This window comes from Homo sapiens, chromosome 1 (genome assembly GCF_000001405.40).
Source record: "Homo sapiens chromosome 1, GRCh38.p14 Primary Assembly".
Taxonomy (NCBI): Eukaryota; Metazoa; Chordata; class Mammalia; order Primates; family Hominidae; genus Homo; species Homo sapiens.
Window position 1 is genome coordinate 213,810,005 of NC_000001.11, and position 18,827 is coordinate 213,828,831.

Consider the following 18,827-nt stretch of genomic DNA (forward strand, 5'->3'; position numbering starts at 1 on the left):
ACACCACAACCAGCCTCTCACCTCTCTCTATCCACCATGACCACCATCACTTCCATCCTCTACCCTTACCCTTTGATTTCTTATCATTGCCGTTGAGAAGCCTTGGAGGGCCTGGCTACTGGAGGATTGCAATAATGTGGAATCAGGCAAGTTGCTGCCTAGGGCAGTAGTAAACTGAGGCTTGGAGTGGGTATGAAGCAAGCCTGAGGAGGAGGAGGGTCTGAACCAGCAAAGTAATGCTGGCAGTTGACTCAACAAATCAGTGGGAAGATGTGGTCAATAATCTAAGGAAGAAGACTAGTTCCTGGGAACATCAGGAACAGGTAGAAAAATACACCTTAGGTAGGGTGGGGAGAGAAGTGTCAAAATTATTGCTCTTATAAGAGCATCAGTCTTATTCATTGCTGCATACCTGGCCTGGCAATGGTCCCTGGGTTAAGACATAGAGCTTGGCCGAATTGGAAGAAGATACAGAAAACCATGAGGAATGAACTTCTTTCTGACATATCAAAGTGATACAAGGGGTTAGTTGATAAATGTGGAAGTGGGAACCCTACAAAGTAAAGTTGCAGATACTTCCCAAATAACTAGGGGACTAAGTTTACAAATGACTGCGTAAAGAAACAAACACCATTAGCTGTTAATTCTGACAGGTGAGTTTGAATTATAATATCTACTCCAACCACCAACACCAGTATCACCACTGCTACCAACACTTTCCAGGAGTCAGGGCCTGAACTCATTTATTTTTGTGTATTTATTTAATTCATTATTGATGTAATCTTTTTAATAGTTCTATGATATAAATGTTACCATCCTCATTTTACAGATAAGAAAAATAAAGCTCAGAGATATCATCTCTCATCCCAGCAAAAAGCTGGTAAGTGGCTGGTCTAGAATTCAAACCCAGCTTCCACTGAGGCCAGAGAGTGGCATCTCATAGGAAATGGGGTTTACTTCCATGGGCAAGAATGGGATTCCTATGACCAAGGACAACTCTGGATTTAAAGAAACTTAAAACAAAACAAAATAGTCCCCATGCCTGATCTTCCCAGCTGGACTCTTCTCAGCTTGGTTTGTGGTTATTTATAGCACTCTACTTACAACTCCAGAGCCACTGGCAATCTTGAGCATGTTATTTAAACTTCCTGAGCCTTAATTTGCTCTTTTGCTAGAATGAGGCAATTACATTTAACACTCTGAGATTTTTCACCTTTAATACTGATTTTATTCAACATCTGTATCTGCTCTGCATGGGACATTTTAGACACTGCTAAAGATACAGAATTGAACGTGGCGGGGCTCGCAACCTCCGTGCTTCTCACCAGGACATGGGCTTTTCCAGAGCACACAGTATGTCATTTATCTCTGCACCTCTGCCCAGCCCATCCCCATGCCTACTTCACTGCCCAGGTATTGTAGAGGCTCAATGAATGTTCATCAAAATTACATGAAAGAAAGGAGCTGCTCACGATAAATAGCACAAAACAGAATGTGGCAAAGATCTTAGAAACCATGCAGTATAATGGGATAGGCCATAGGAAAAGGGCATTAATAACCATCTGGAGTGATCAGGAGTCATCTTCCAGGAGGACTCATGAAGGAGTTGGCTTCTGACCTTAAAGGAAAGGAAGAGCCTCAATGGGCAGAAAAGGGGCAGCATAAAAAATTCTGGAGACAGGAAAGTTCCCTGTCATCCAGTTTTTCTGCCAAGTCGGGTGTGTAAGAGAGTATGGCAGTGCTCAAGACCAGAAAGATGGGGTTGAATTATTAAGAACCTTAAGTTTTTGTGTTTTAGACTTTAGACTGCTCTGTAGGAAATGAGGAGCCATTGAGGGTTTTTAACACAAGGGTGGTATAAACAGTTATGTCATATCGAAATTCAACCACTGAGCATTGTGTGAGACACCTTCAAATATGTTCTATTACTTAATCTTATTTAATTCTTGACTCCAAACAACTTTGTAAATTAGATAGTTTTATTGTGTGTTAATTACATCTCAATAAAGATATGTAATAAAACACCTCTATTTTTGAGATGAAGTAGTACACAATTTCTTAGAAACAAAACAAACAAAAAACAGTCTTCTAAAGCTTCACTTTAACTTTTGTGGGATGCCCTTCTTTACTCTCAAGAAATTAAGAAAAAAGGAAAGAAAAGAGGGAGAGAGGGAGAAGTGAAGGAAAAGGAGGGAGGGAAAAGGAAAGACAAAAAGAAAGGGAGAAAGGAAGGAAAGAAGGAAGGAAGAAAGACAGGCTTCATACGTTCAAGATTCCATGTCCTCTTTTTGGTAGTATGGGAAGGAACTGTGGCAGAGGGAAAGCCAACTACTGTCTGAGTTAATCTCAGGTCAGATGCACTATTACTGAACTTCAGGGTTGTATAACAAAAATCTGTTTCTTTCCATAGCCATCTCCTTAACACAGTGTATGAAAAAAATTGTTTTTAGGTGTCTTGATTTAATTTAGCAGTTTCTTAAATTCTGTGTATTCTATGTGCCCGAGTAGCCTATGAATTTTTTTTCTTCATGTGGAAATTCAGGGATTGACAATGCCGTTGTTAAAGCCCTTTTAAAGACAGTTCATTTAGGAAGACTGGTTCCCATTGGACACCCTTGAGGAGTTAGTTGTGTGTGTTAAAGAGATATTTATTCCCAGATAAATTGGCTTATAAATATGAACCAATTCGTGTAAGGCAATCCACAGAGCAAGCCTTGAGGGAACTGTTCTTTCTACTTTAGGGACTGGCTTCTATGAAAGACCTGGTAGGCAGCTCCTCTTCCTATACCTGGCCCTGGATATTTAACTCCCACTGAATGTGGGGAGCTAAATTCCTCTTACTTAACACAGCAGTCCCGAAGGGCTTGTAAACCCATCATCGGACAGTTGAGTTGAGGAGGTTAAGAAAACTGACATGAAGAGAGGCTTTACAATTCTGTAAGCAATTTTTTATGGCTAAAGATGTCGGCCGGGCACGGTGGCTCAAACCTGTAATCCCAGCACTTTGGGAGGCTGAGAAGGGCGGATCACGAGGTCAAGAGATCAAGACCTTCCTGGCCAACATGGTGAAACCCCGTCTCTACTAAAAATGCAAAAATTAGCTGGGTGTGGTGGCACGCAACTGTAGTCCCAGCTACTTGGGAGGCTGAGGCAGGAGAATCACTTGAACCCGGGAGGCAGAAGTTGCAGTGAGCTGAGATCACGCCACTGCACTCTAGCCTGGGCAAAAGAGCGAGGCTCTGTCTCCCGCTGTCACCCAGGCTGGAGTGCAATGGCATGATCTCAGCTGAAGATGTCTTAAAGTGCAATTATTTTAATCATCTCTCCCTTGTCTTGCTGCCCACCAAGAGATAACTGACGAGATGGAGCCAGCCCAGCCTGTTCCATGTTGAACAACCCCGGGCTTCATCCTTCAGCTTTTCATTAAAGAACTCCTAGGAAACACATGAAGATGAGAAAGTTGTAGTCAGGTTAACATGAAATAAAAAATATAAAAAGCCACTCAAGGATGTTAATTTGCATCCTAATGCAAGCCACTCGTTTCAAATGCATCGTTTAAAGTGTCTTGAAACACTGCAAATTTCCGTTTTTGTCTGGAAATTTTATTTACTGTTAGTTTCTCACTGCTACTAACACTAAAAACCTTTAGAAAACTCCCAAAGGCTGTGTTCTTCAGGAGAAGGAGGGTGGAGAATCTGTTCTGTGGTGCTCATGGAAGATAGAGCGATAGATGGCCTTGGAAGTGGGGGAGCAGGGACCTAATCTCTACGAGAGGAGCAGAGGGGGGCTGCCAACAGCAAGCTCGTCTCTGGGAGTCCATAGCATAGGATGCCCAGATCACTGTGGTTTCCTACTCTTCTCATAGCGATTAGCACTTCTCACCTTGAAGTCCCTGAATTTGAAGTTTTACATAGATTGTATGAGCCTAAACCTCACCCAACCACTGCTCTCAGAGCAGGAAGCTGGGACTAGAGAGACCTGAGATGCCTATTAAATTGCTAAAACTCACACAGAGTTTAAAGTCTTTAGAACAAAGATATCTTGCTCCTCAGTTTTATACAGAATTAGAACATGTGGATGCTGTACTCAAGGACTGTCAAGGAAAACCAGACAGCAGAGGCAGTGATGTGAGTTCCAATTCCAGTGTGTCCAGCTGGCATGTATCCTTTGCTACCTGAGTCCTTTGCAGCACCTTCTGCTCTGCAATACTCCTGCCTTCCGTGTCTACAACTCCAGGAGGCTCTAGAATTCTTTCTTGGAGCAGGACAACCTGAGGGGCTTGGGCGAAGCCTAAATGACCAACGGGAGCAGTAAACCTCTTGGGATGAGGGCAGCAAGGGCCAACTTGCTGGGCATCATCCAACTGAGAAGGAGCTATGTGGATGTCCTTTTCTCTGTTCTGGCTGGGGAAATGGATATGGTGGGCATAGCAAGGAGAGTTAGAATCATAGGTGATTAAAGGAGAAGCAGATATGCTTTCTTGGATCCATCAGGTTGTTGGTAAGGACTTAGAATGGTTTACATTGTGGATCCCAACACATAGGCTTTGGAATTAGCCAGAATGCCAGTTCTTCCACTCACCTCCCTGAAGCTCCATCTTCTTATCAGTAAAATCCATGTCACTAACCATTCACTGAATGGTTATTCAGGGCTAAGCACTATTATAAGGGCTTTACATGCATTAACTCATGTAATCCTCATATGTACCTTACAATGTAGCCTAGAATTTGTGAGCTTCATTCTCCAGATGAAGACATGAAGGCACAGCAAGGCTGAGTAACTTATTCCAAGTCACAAGGCTAACAGATGACAGAGCAAGGATTTGGATCCAGGGGGTCCAGCTTCAGAGTCCATGCTGTGGACACAACTTTACCTTGTTTCTGCAAGATTGAATGAGACAGCAAACTCATAGATTCTCCATGAGTAATAATTCTTATCACTCCAAGTTATTAACATTGAGCCATGATATGGTTTGGCTGTGTCTCCACCCAAATCTCATCTTGAATTGTAGTTTCCATAATCTCCACGTGTCATGGGAGGGAGCCATTGGGGGATGATTGAATCATGGGGGCAGTGACCCCCATGCTGTTCTCGTGATAGTGAGTGAGTTCTCATAAGACCTGATGTTTTTATACGGGGCTTTTTTCCCTTTGCTTGGCACTTCTTTCTCCTGCCACCTTGTGAAGAAGGATGCGTTTACTTCCCCTTCCACCATGATTGTAAGCTTCCTGAGGCCTTCCCAGCCATGTGGAACTGTGAGTCAATTAAACCTCTTTCCCAGTTTCTTCGATGCAGTGTGAGAATGGACTAATACAAGCCACTACCTGTTGAGCATAGTTAATAAACAAAACAAACTAGTAATTAATGTAATCATTAGCTTCTATCCCAGTGAACTCCAAACATTTTAGTTATGCACCCCAAGTTGTAAAACATTCCTGAACATATATTTGTGTATGGATTAGAAAGATGTCCTATTGTGCATATGACCATTATGAAACATGTAGAACTTATAAACTGAAATCGAAAACAAATTTAAAAATAGGAGTTCAATATAGATCTACCTCAGAAACATAGTGGGTTTGGTTCCAGATCACTGCAATAAAGCAAATGTCATAATAAAGTGAGTCCCACCAATTTTCTGGATTAGGCTTTGACTCTAAGGGAATGTTGTGGCTGGTTTGATCTTTTATTCAGACCACTCTAACTTTCTCGCTATTAGCAAAAGGCTGTTTTGCTTTCTTATCATTCCTGTGTTCACTGGAGTAGCACTTTTAATTTCCTTCAAGAACTTTTCCTTTGCATTCACAACTTCTGTAACTGGTGCAAGAGGCCTAGCTTTTAGCCCATCTCAGCTTTCCACATGCCTTCCTCACTAAGCTTAATCATTTCTAGCTTTTGATTTAGAGTAAGAGATGTGACTCTTCCTTTTACTTGAACCTTTAGAAGCCATTGTAGGGTTATTATTTGGCCTAATTTCAATATGATTGTGCCTCAGGGAATAGGGAGCCAGAGGAGAGAGAAAGAGACAGGGAAACAGTCGGTTGGTGGAGCAGTCAGAACACACAACATTTATTGATTATGTTCGCTGTCTTACATGGGTGCAGTTCATGGCACCTCAAAACAACTACAATAGTAACCTCAAAGATCCCTGACCACAGATCATCATAACAGATATAATAATAATAATAAGGTGTGAAATATTGGGAGAACTACCAAAATGTGAGACAGAGACACAGAGTGAGCATGTGATATTGGAAAAAGATGGCATCAATAGATTTGCTGTATGCAGAGTTGCCATAAATCTTCAATTTGTAAAAACATGCAATATCTGCAAAGCACAATAAAACAAGGGCATGCCTATAATTATCCCTGCTCTTCAGGGGCATGGATTGCTTACTGTGTTTCGAAGACCACCAACAAGCTCACATTTTCCATTTTGCCCTTAAGAGTTGAAGAGTCAGCTCTGACCATCTGAGGACTCCTGCCTCGCCACACTGACTTCTGATTCTTTCAGCCCAGGTTACAATCCAGTGGTCAGATGACACAGAGCAGCCGCTCATGGGGTACCTGGGCCGCTCGTGGGTAGATCTGTGAACCCAGCAATCAGCAATTTCAGCCCCTCTGGTGTTATTCCCCCCTCTGCTCACCAGCCCCCTGTTCCTGGACCTTCTCAAATGCCCGATGGTGACTGATCCCTCTCTCTCCTTCCCAGTGCTCTGAACAAAAATATTGAGTGTCCTTCTCCTTCCTGAACTTAAGTCACTTACAGGGCTGTCTGCCTCCCAAGCCTTATCTCCGTTTAAACTTTCAAAGTCTCATTTTCCTCAATAGTCAAATGAGGATGTTAATTTTCTGTGTATCCAAGTGCTGTGAAGTTGAAATGGGGAACCCTTGCAACCATGCCTCGCATACTACCTAGAGTGCACCAGGCACTCAACAGGGCTCCTACATGGCCAGGAAGTCTGGATCTAGAAGGGAAGACTCTGTTCTCCCTTATAGGGGAGTAAATAGAAAGAGATGTTACCCTGAAATGATACCATAGCCTGCTAAACCCTATCCTAGCCTAATGGCACTGGGCTGACTGCTAATGGCTGGAGGCTGCTCCCCCAAGAGACTCAGTGTGAGTGGTACCAAGAATGGGGATGCTGCCTTTGGCTTCATCACTTGAAGATGGGACCCTGGCAGTGGCTCCCTCCAGCTTAGTCTTCCAAACCCCAACGCACGCATAGTCATCGGCTCCCCTCCTCCCAGGTCTCCTTCCGTCCCTGGACCTCCCTGACCATTCAGGAGGCAGGGCCATTCAGAGGCCAGAGAAGGAAGGCGGGGGAAGGCTGCCCCACTGGGCTGAAGGGCAGCTGTTTATATTATAATTAAGGTTTTACAGCATAAACTGAAATGTAGCTTGACTATTCCTACAAGGCACTGGAGGTAATTACCACTGCTAGAGGCATTCTCCACTGCCAATTATTTCCCTTCCTAATTGAATAACTTAGGCCACACTGTGGAGGGCCAGTGAAAGGAAGGAGGCCAGCTTTCAAATACGGACACTCCTTCAGAGGGCTCAAAACAGTGCAAAGCTTAACACACTCTCAGTCCAACCCTGTCTGAGCGTTCTTTCCTAGGAATGTAGCATAGAGGATAGGAATGTTAGTCCCAGAGTTCTACCATTTACTAGTTCAGGCAGATCAAACTCCCTGCATCTATTTCCTCTTCTATAAAATGGGAATAATTGAAGTTCAGGCAGACTGCATTTTATTACACTTTTCTTTATTGCGTTTTGCAGATATTACAGTTTTTTTTTTTTACAAATTGAAGGTATGTGTAACCCTGCAGCAAGCAAGTCTGTTGGTGCCATTTTTCTAACGGCATGTGCTCGCTTCTTGTCTCTGGGTCATATTTCTCACAATATCTGCGTAATTCTCACAATATCTCAAACTTTTTCGTGATTACTGTATCTGTTATGGCAATCTATGACCAGGAATCTTTGATCTTGTTATTGTAATTGTTTTGGGGCAGCATGAACTGCACCAACATATGACAGCAAACTTAATAAATAAACGTGTGTGTTCTGCCTGCCCCACTGACTTTCTGTTTTCCCGTCTCTCTCTCTCTGGGCCTCCCTGTTCCCTGAGACACAATAATATTGAATTAGGCCAGTTAATAACCCTACAATAGCTTCCAAGTGTTCAAGTGAAAGGAAGGGTCACACATTTTCCACGTTAAATCCAAGGCTAGAGATGATTAAGCTCAGTGAGGAAGGCAAGTCAAAAGCTTAGATAGGCCAAAAGCTAGGCAGGCCTCTTGTGCCAAACAGTTAGCCAAGTTATGAATGCAAAGGAAAAGTTCTTGAAGGAAATTAAAAGTGCTACTCCAGTGAACACAGGAATGATAAGAAAGCAAAACAGCCTCATTGCTGATAGGGAGAAAGTGTTAGCGGTCTGGATAAAACATCAAACCAGCCACAACATTCCCTTAAGCCGAAGCCTAATCCAAAAAATTCGTGTGACCCATTTTATTGCGGTATTAGCTTTATTGCGGTGGTCTGGAACCAAACCCGCTGTATTTCCAAGGTATGTCTGTATAGACTTCATGGCATTGTTGTGAGAATCAAATGAGATAATAATAATTCTGGCACATAGAGAACATTCAATAATTCTGGCTTAAGGAGGTGGTTCCAACAGAGGGTGTGACCGTGGAGGTGCAGGCATTTTTCTCTTCCCTGCACAGATGGATGAAACCGAGGCAGAAGTCACACCTCAGTCCCACTGAAACAGCTTGGTCTGGGAGTACTAGCAGTAGATAGAAAGCATGCCTCCCTGGCTGAAAAATAATAAATTCCTTTGAGTTACAGAAGAAATGGCCCCTCCCAAGAAAGTTGGACAGATATTCAAGACATCCAGTCCCTGGGAGTGTTCGCTAGTCCTTTTGCCTCCTCCGTATCCATACATGGTGGCTGGCATTGTGTACAGGCCTGCGGTGGCTGGTGGCTTCCTCGGCCCCAGGGAAACCCATGATTAATACCAAATACATTTGTTGAGTGCTTTCAACTTTTAAAATTTTGTTCTACTCTCATCTCTTTCACACCTCACAACCACCTGGAAAATACAAGTATCCTTCCTGGTTTACAAATGAAAAAAATAGAGACTGAAAGAGATTAAATAACTCACAAAGGCTCAATCAAGGAATGAAACACAGCTCTCTGCCTCCAGTTTCTCCCACTGCTCCTCCACAGGAAGGAAGTCCATTCAGCTTTCAGGGTTCACCACACACTCCCTTCCCAAAGCCCAATTCTTTTGCTACTGAAATTATATAGTGCGTTTAAAACATCACAAAAGCCAGAGATCGTGAATTCTCCCACTTTAGTGTGCATACAGGTCTCTTGGGGAATGTGTTTACAAATGAAAATTCCAGGGCCACACTCCCAGGAAGTCTGACTCCCTGCATCTAAGATGGGGCCCAGGAATCTGAAGGTTAACAAGGTCTCCAGGTTTTTCTGATTTCAGCAGTTCAATGAGACTGCAACAGAGGCATATGAAAGAGCACTGATGGGACCTCAGTGAGTTGACTTAATCTTTCCGAACATTCATTTCCTTATATGCAGAGGAAGATAATAATATTTACCTCTGTGAGGTTTTGTGAAAATTAAATGACATAATGTATGTAAAGTGTTGTGCACCATGCTTGGCACATAGAAAGTGCTCTGGTGACATCAGTCCTTATTAGCACGACAGCTGCTGTTGTCATGAATATTACTGAAATACCACCAAGCCTTGTGTGTTACCCAAGGGATAAATTATTATGAGCTTGAGACCTTATCATTTGGAGTCACTAAATCTATAGAAAATTGGGATGTAAAAGAAACATAAATAGAATTTGAGAAATTTAAGTCATTTTTTAATAAGAATGACCCATTCATCCTCATTTAACTACCTTGGGGTGGGGGTGTTGGCAACTGTTTGGACAAATAGGAATTTGTTCTCTAACTAGCAGACCCTGATTAATGGCAGGAAAGGGGAGCAACTGGTGGATATGCCGGCGGCAGGGGGAGCTTCTTGAGAACTGGCTTTAAGTTAATGTGATCTGCACAAAAATTCAATAGCAGACAGCACTGAGACGGACAAGAAGGTATAGACCTCATCGCCAGCCATGAACAGCTTCCTCCTAGTTATCCTCCATTTCCCTAGGACTCTGGGGACATCTCTGAGTGCAAGGGCATCCCGGGACCCCAGGCTGCCTCTATAGGTCTGAAGTCTGGGTGAAGAGGAGCTCTGCCTTCTTATTAGGGAAAGCTGGCCCGGAGACTGCCCTAGGACTGCCTTCTCCTGGTTTCTCCTGGGAAAAAGAACAAGAAGGAAGAAATTTCAGAAGAAAGTAAGACAAATTGAGCTAAGTGAATGACTTACAGACTGTCAGTGGTGGGAACCCAGCACTCCACATATACACACACTTTGAATTTGGCAAAAAGCCCAGGTGAGGTATGAAGTGACTGTCAGCCAGGACTACCCACAGGCTGGCCTGGGGCTGGTGGCCTGAGCTTTGTCAGAGAGCCTCTAGAAACCTGCATTTCACCCAGGCCACCTCTGTCTTCTAGTGTGGCCAAGTAGGCACACACACACAAAAACTAAACAGTTTCGGATTGGAGAAGGCCCAGAAATACTCTTGGGTATATTTCGACATCTCAGGAAGTAGGTTCTGAGAGAGGAACCCCAGCATTTCCACACCTGATAGGGCAGGGGCAGGTGGACTTCAGTAGTTGACATCAGGCCAGTCACGCTTCAGCCCTTCCGTTGGAAATCTGAGGCCCAAAACACATTTTTTGGATGAGAGCCAACCACTCCGGAGAGTTGTCTCTTATTTAAGCTGTGCAGTGAACTACCTACATAGTGTGAATTGAGAGACCTGGAAAGTCTCATCCCCCAAAAACACCCGCTCCCCAAGCATTTCTGTCTCCAAACATGTTTGTCCCCTCCTACTACAACATATCCAGGCCGTAACTTTCCTCTCTGATCCAAGTTCCTAAGGTGATGCAAGAGCAGGAGGGATACTCCAAGGAGAAGAGGCTACAGCAATAACAGGTGAGGCAGACACGGGTCAGTCCTGCTCTCGCTTTCTCAAGAACCCCATCTCCTGCCTTCATCTTCTATCTTACTCTGCTATTCTCCATGACCTTGATTTGTCTCTGTCACCTGCTCCCTGTGCCTTTTCCATCTCTATGTCCATCCTAGGCCAGGTCGGTCCTGGGCACACAGTGGTCTCAATCCATGCCTGAGGAATGACTAAGCAATGAATGAACAGAGAGGCGTGGAAGAACATCTAGGGTGAGGGCTGCAGGCATATCCATGCCAGCCCTCCTTTTCCCCCAGGGCAAGCCCAGAAGGAAGCAGACACTGGAGAGAAAGGACTGGCTGTTAATCTTTTACCCAAAGTTCAGCTCCACAGTAATGCTCTTTGTGCTGCCCCTGCTAACTAGAGGCAGAAAATGTGGAAACATCACATATTTGCCGTAAATCTGCTGCTTTTTATGTAAAAACATTCATGACTGGCTTCATGTTTTGGTCCTTACTTTCTCTCCCTCTTCCTGTATCCATTTTTATAACCCCCTGTTCTCACATGTCAAAACAGTGTAACTAATCACTCTGTCACCTTGATCCCCTGCAAAGATGCCTTCTCCACTGTTTCCCCCCCACACGTCTTCACCATCTACTTTTCCAGCTGTTCCCTCCAGGGCAGCAGACTCTTGCATCCATAGTCACCAGGGCACACAGATCTCATTTTCTTTATGATTCATCTCCCAAGAGGAGAAATGACCAGGATCAAGAAATGCATATGTGACATTGCTGGGGAAATGTGGCTTCAGACAAGACAGGAGTTGGCAGAAATGGAGGTTACTCACTTTACTCAAAGCGAGGAGCTGGGAGAGATTGCCTTGGGTGGGGGGTTTTATTGGTTTTCATATTTATCACTGGGGAGTGCTGTTAATGAATTGCCATCCTCCAAAATCAAACCATCAAGGTTGCATTTGGGCACTGAAGAACTGCTGGTTTCAGAAAGTGCCCCTGTTGGTCTGACAGTTTCTCGTGATCAGGAAGTGTCACTGGGTGATCCAGATACCAAAGTCCTGTGAGCCCCTTTGTGCTCTCCTCTGATTGCTCAGGAGCCTTTGACACACTACACTTTGTCTGTCCTTCTGGAAGCCCTTTCTTCATTTGGTTTCCAGAGAACACAAGCTTCTGGTTTTCTTTCTACATCCCAGGACATTCTTTTGCCAGGTCTTCCTCTTCTTCCTAATCTCTAACAGTTTGAGTAATGTAGAGCTCAGACCTTGAATCTCTTCTCTATCTATTCCACCTGCCTTTGTCGTCTCTGTCCTTCATGGATTTAAATATCAGGTTGATACATAAGAAACATCTGATGATCAATCTTTTTCACCTGTAAAAAAAAAAAGACAAGTTCAATGGTCCCACCTAATGCTATATAGGATAAGTCCCAAATATTTATCTGTGTCCCCTGACTTCTCTTTGAACTTCAGACTCTTACCCAGCTGCCTACTTAGACACCGCCACTCAGATGTCTAATTGGTATGTCCAGATCAACCAAAGCAGTTCAGAGTAGGACTCTAGACTTCCCTGCCAAGTTTGTTCCTCTCCCAATCTTCCCCATTTCAGTTAAGCACAACCCCACTCCTCTGGTTGCTCAGATCAAGAACCTAATAGTCATCCTGGCTTCTTCTCTTTCTCCAACATGTTACAGAAGTAAGTTCTTTTAGCTCTAACCTCACTTCTCATGTCTTTGCTCTTATCATCCTAGGCCAAGTTTCCTGGGGTTGTTTCCTAGATTAGTGTAATGACATCCTAACTGGTTTCTGCTTCTGCCTCTACCCTTGGACCTTCTATAATCTACTATCTTTACAGCAGTCAGAGTGATCACTCTGAAGCATACATCATATTGTGTCATTCTGTCCAGCCCAAATACTCCAATGTCTTCCAATAATGCTCAGAATAAAATCTAAACTCCTTACCCTGCCTATTTCCCAGGCCCTGCCCGTGTCTCTAATATTCATCTCCTTTGCCTGCTTCACTCAGCTATAAATCAAAGCCTTGCTACTTCCTACTTCCTCTGCCTCTGGCACTCTCACTCCACTCATTCAAGGATGTTCGGTATCACCTCCCCTGGAAAAGCTTTCATAGACCATCCCATTATCAGTAATACTTATCCCTTCATCCTACCTTCTTTAATATGCTGATCACATGATAGTATATGATAGCATGACTTGTTTATATGTTTATTATCTACCTACCAACTAGAGCCTAAGTTCTGTGAGAGCAAATATTGTTGTCTCCGTCAGTGCCCTTTCCTAGTGCCTGGCACACGATAGATGCTCAAAAAGTGTTTAAGTGAATGAATGAATTGATGAATGAGTGTGCCAGGCCCCCAGCTCTGTATCCTGTGAGAGCTCAATACAGACTTGATGCTTGAAAACCTTGAGCCAGAGGAACTTTGAGCCAGCAGTCTAATAATGATGTGGGATTAGGATTGTACTGCAATGTGAGTTTGTAGTTTTTAGAATACTTCCTTATATATGGTAACCACTACCTCCTCTTCCCAACAGAATGGAGGATCCCAAGGAGGTCACTTTGCCATTTCCATTTTCTCCAGCCAAAACATTCAAGTTTTTATTCTTCGTGCAGTGACCATGACATCCTTGGTGTTGGCTATCACAGCCACACACACACACACACACACACACACCACACCACATCAAACCAATAATGATAAAAATGATAGCAAACTTTCAATAAGATCTTGCGTTGAACCAAGCACTGTTCTAAACTTTTTACATATATTATCTCATTAGGATGGCTTAAGAATCCTATAAAGCAGGTGCAGATTTGATCTCCACAATCAGATGAGGAAACTGAGGCACAAAAGGGACTAAGTAACTTTCCAAAGTTTACACAGCCAGTAAGAGAACAGGGCAAATATTTCTGAGGTTTTCAGTTTAGGATAAGGTCTCTAGCGATGCTATCCATAGAAAGTCCCAGTCTCCTACTGTCCCCCCTGTCCAGATTGCTCAAAGCTCTGAAAATCCCATAAAGACAAGGGCAATGAACATTAAGGGCCTCCTATGTTACAGGGAGAAAGACCCTAGGTCCCCATATCCACAAAGGTGATGTGCTTCCACCCAAAGTATGACCAAGACAGTGACACAATAGGGCCCTTTTCCCTCATTTACCCTCTAAGGGTGCTCCATGTCACTCAGAGCTGGCCCTGTTTCCCAGCCCAGTTGAAGGACACGTTTGCCTCACATCTTCAAGTGAACAGCCAGAATCCATGTAGCAATTTCCTCTCCCTCATCCTCCCTTGTTAGCTTAGCTCCATCTGGTAAACAGGAGTCCTGGTGCCCCCAGTTCTCAACCCCCTCACCTGAGAGGTAGCACCTAAAGCAAAAGGCTCTCTGAAAAAAATCACATCGCCTGCACTGCTAAGGACAAGGAACCCTCAGGCTCATGCATTGATATGGTTTGGCTATGTCCCCACCCAAATCTTGTCTTGAATTCCCACATGTTGTGGGAGGGACCTGGTTGGAGGTAATTGAATCATGGGGGCAGGTCTTGTCCCATGCTGTTCTCGTGATAGTGAATAAGTCTCATGAGATCTGATGGTCCTATAAGGGGGAGTTTCCCTGCGCAAGCTCTCTCTTTGTCTGCTGCCATCCATATAAGACATGACTTTCTCTTTCTTGCCTTCTGCCATGATTGTGAGGCCTCCCCAGCCACACGGAACTACAAGTCCATTAAACCCCTTTTTCCTGTATAAATTACCCAGTGTTGGGTATGTTTTTATCAGCAGTATGAAAATGAACTAATACATGCATTGATGCCCGCCTCCTGCAATCCTGGCAGTGGGACCAACGGGCTGCCTAAAGGCTGCTGCTTCTCACACAGGGATAGCTGACAAGGCACAAGGGCATTGCTCCCAGCAGGCTTCTGCCCCCTCCCTGGCAGTGCTAGGCCAGAGAAGAAAGAGTGGGAGAGAGGGAGGGATGTCTCTCCAAGTAAGAGAGCAAGCAAAAAGATAAATGGAACCAATTCCAAAAGGAGTTACAGGGCATCTGGAGAAGCAAGACCCCTGACTTATAGTTAAGGCTCTGAAGCGTCAATTAATATGCTTCACATCTACCCCACCTTGCTCTTGGATGCACCAAATGCTTTCAGGAATACCCCCAGGGTCCCCTCCTCACAGCTAGACAGGACTCACTTTCCACAGCACTAGAAACAAAGACTGCCAATACTCAAACTTTATGTGCAAAAGCTGCTTGTCTAAACCTGGATACAGAAAGATTTAAAGGCATACTTGCAGTGCAGTTTTTCCAGAGAAAGTGGAATATAAAGGAAGAGGGAGGGAGCAGGGAGGGAGAAAATATTAGCTTAAGAAATCTCAAGCTACTGACCCAGGAAGAACCCGGTGCTAGAGGGATACTGAGTTGTGACTGAGGTTTTCTTTTTGCAATCCTACAAGGGGGTTAATGCCAGCCAGTGGTGGCCAGCTCATTTTTGATGGGTTGCCCAGGTTAGAGTGACTCATCTATGCCCCAGACTGCCCCTCCACATGGATCATCCCCTGTTTAACAACCTAGGAAGTTGGTGAACCCCTTGCCAAGCACCAGTGAACTTCGAGATTTTCAGAAATCACAACCTTTGTGGGTATCAGTCTCCTCATCTGCAAAATCAGGCACTGAGAAAATGATTTCTAAGGTCCTATGTAGTTCTAATATTCTGGAATTTAATAAAGGCCTATAGTGGGATATTTTTGAGAAAATATCCTTTGCTCATCATGGAATGATTGCTAGGAATTCCCACAAAATAAGCAGTAAAGTCTCCCACATAACCTAGTTTTTAAATTTTAATTAAAGCCCATGAACTGAAAACAATCAAAATGTGTACTTCGGGAAGGGGCTAATTGTATATTAATTTCATTATTACCCAGATATATCCACCATCACTCATTAGATCAATGACAGATGATCGTCTTATTGGTCATCTTCAAAATGATTTACTAAGTAATGACTAGTTGCCAAGGACTATGGTGGGAACTTTAGGGAATGCAGAAAACTAATGTTATATTGTCTCCATCTTTAGGAGAAAAAAATGACAAATCTATATTTTAAAAATCTAGAAACTAATACAGGAAATTTAGAATCATAATAGAATTTTTTTAAGTTTAAGACTGACTACTGTTCATTTCAATGTTGACAAGTACAGATGTCCAGGTAATGCTAAACTTTTGAAGCACAAATGAAAATATACAATATTATTATCACTAAATTATATCACTATAAACAAGTAATCACTGGTGCCCTGCAAATGTGCATAGAATATTTACCTTAGCCCACAGTTTGCTTAGAGAAAAATCTAGTCTTTCTCCATAAGATAATGCTCAGGTTGGTCATTTTAGTTTCAATACTATATAGACTTGAGATTTTTACCTACAACAACCTTGTAGGCAGAACCGGCTATATAATTTGTGGGGTCCAGTGCGAAATGGAAATGTGGGATTTTTTGTTTACAAATTATTAATACTAAGAATTTTAAGATGGCAAAAGCAGGGCATTAAACCAAGTGTGGGCCCCTTCTAAGGTCAGGGCCTGCTCATAGATTATCCAGAGGTAGCCATGGCTGACAATTAATGAGTTCTTGCTGTCTGCTGAGCATAGATCTAAGGACTGTACATTTATTAACTCTTTTAATCCTCAGAACAACCCTGGGAAGGGGGGGAAGTACTATTATTCTCTACCTATAATAAGGAAACAAAGGCATAGAAAAGTTAAGCATCTTACCCTTGGATCCATGGACAGGAAATAGAGCCAAGATTTCACGACAGGATTTTGAGGCAGACTGGGTTCAGGTCCCATCACATTGCTACACTCTGCTGCTTCTAGTAGTCATTCTCCCAAACTGAGTCTGGAAATTATACTAATGGATTTCCACTCCGCAGACTCTTTTAATTTTCTTCTCTCCTAAGATTAACGCTGGGCTTGAGTAACTCTGAGGTTGTCACAGTTCCAAGGAACTGCAATGACTAGGGGCCTTTTGCATATGTGTGACTGGATGGATGTGGGCAAAGTCGAGTAAGCCTGAATGCAGAGAGCCGGGCATAGTTTTTCTTAGACTCCCACATGTTATTGAACCTCCACAGTCAAAGCCTGCTGAAGCTTCACAGCTAAGGCTCTGGGTGAAAATGGCTCAGACCAAGAAGGCACACCAGACTCCAATAAGCCTGGTTCCATTTCGTGCTGGAAGGATGGGGTCTCTGGGCAGAGCTGGGCTTGCCTGCAACAACCTTAACTTTTAGCTCACGGCTGTGGCCTTGCTCCTGGGCAGGTCCCACAGGAGGAACCTCCATGCTAGGCACTCCACCCTCGCCATAGAGGGCTGTGAGTCAGCCACATAGAGTGGAAAATGAAGAGCACTGTTGTTGGAGGGAAGAACATTAGGCAGCCTGGCCCTCTGCTTTCTAGAACTGTGATTTTCCAACTTCAGTTGGGCATAAAGATCAACTTCAAAGAAAAAAAAAAGTTGGCTCCTATGCTTACTTTTTATATAACAAGCTTTTCAGGATTTCTGATGTAGGTGATGCATTCTTCAAGAATCACCATCTAGAAAATGGATAACCTTAACATGATGGGAGCATTTCCAAGGGAGGGTCGGTGATCACTCTCCTTCACCATCAGGGATGAGCCAGCTACAGCACCACTTCTAGCAGGGCTTAGACTAGTCGGATGAGACACCTGAAGGAGGGAATGCAGCCCCCAGCTTTCTACATGGATGCTAGAGTCCCAGGTCATTCTTTTTTAACTTCGGCTAATAATCTTAATCAATATTTTTATTTTTACTGGAGTATAAATTGTGCCTCCCACCATGACCTGCCATCCACAAAATGATGAAGGTTTCCATGCAAACTTTTCTCCTTATAAAGGGTTTTCAGGCCTCTTCTTTCTCTCTCTACCTGCTGTTTCTTCTAAATACCATTTGGCTTGAAAAGCTCTAATTTTGAGGAAATTCCTTTTTGTCAGAATGGATCAGAGTCATCAAACGCTGTTGATGAAATAGACTTCAGAGAGCATTCAGCCTGGCACTTTTACTCTATAGACAGGGAACTGAAAGCCAGATGAGGCCAGAGCTGACTAGAGTGACATAGAGTGGGGTCCACACTCACATGCATAGGTGAGGTCACTGAGCAGACCCCGCATACTCACAGTTCATGCAACCCAAAGATGTCCCTTCTCCCCACAGTGCCACATCACACCCAGTAAGCTGACACCCACCGCAGGGCATGTCTAGACTCTCTTCACTGGATTTCCCATTAAAGCAATGCTGAAAACAAGTTTTTTTAAATCTCTGGAAATGAATGGATATCTCATATAGCAAGAATACAGCAAGGGGGCCGGAAAAGTCCACCGTGCACATGTTTTAAAAACAAGTTATAAATAAACAGAATAATCAGAAACCGGATTGAACTTCCAAGTTCAGAATGAGACATGGAAGATGAAAGGCCTGACTTGTTCCTAACTAGCTGGGCGGTGGCTCAGTTGTATAATCCTTTCCTGGCTACGTGGCATTGGAATTCATAAAATTTTGGACTTTTAGAACTGAAAAAGATCTTAGAGAAGTTGTCTGGCCCAACCCCTCACACTGGGATAGTAAAACTGAAGCTCAGAGAGATGAAGACACTTGCCCGAAGTCACAGAGCTCATATTTGTTAATCAACCAGGGTTATTCTTGCAGCTACTGAAGGAACCACAGTGGATGGGTTATTTGGTACTTGGC

The 18,827-nt window shown here is 43.5% G+C and overlaps 1 protein-coding gene and 1 long non-coding RNA gene across 2 annotated transcripts in view; one reads left to right on the forward strand and one right to left on the reverse strand.

The window, feature by feature from the left end:
• RPS6KC1 (ribosomal protein S6 kinase C1) overlaps positions 1 to 18,827 on the forward strand; it is an 811,495-nt gene that overhangs the window by 758,764 nt on the left and 33,904 nt on the right. The window lies entirely within an intron of this gene.
• PROX1-AS1 (PROX1 antisense RNA 1) overlaps positions 9,637 to 18,827 on the reverse strand; it is a 166,513-nt gene continuing 157,322 nt past the window's right edge. Inside the window, exon 6 of the long non-coding RNA NR_037850.2 lies at positions 9,637 to 12,429. This is a non-coding gene — a long non-coding RNA (PROX1 antisense RNA 1). The remainder of the gene's footprint in view (positions 12,430 to 18,827) is intronic.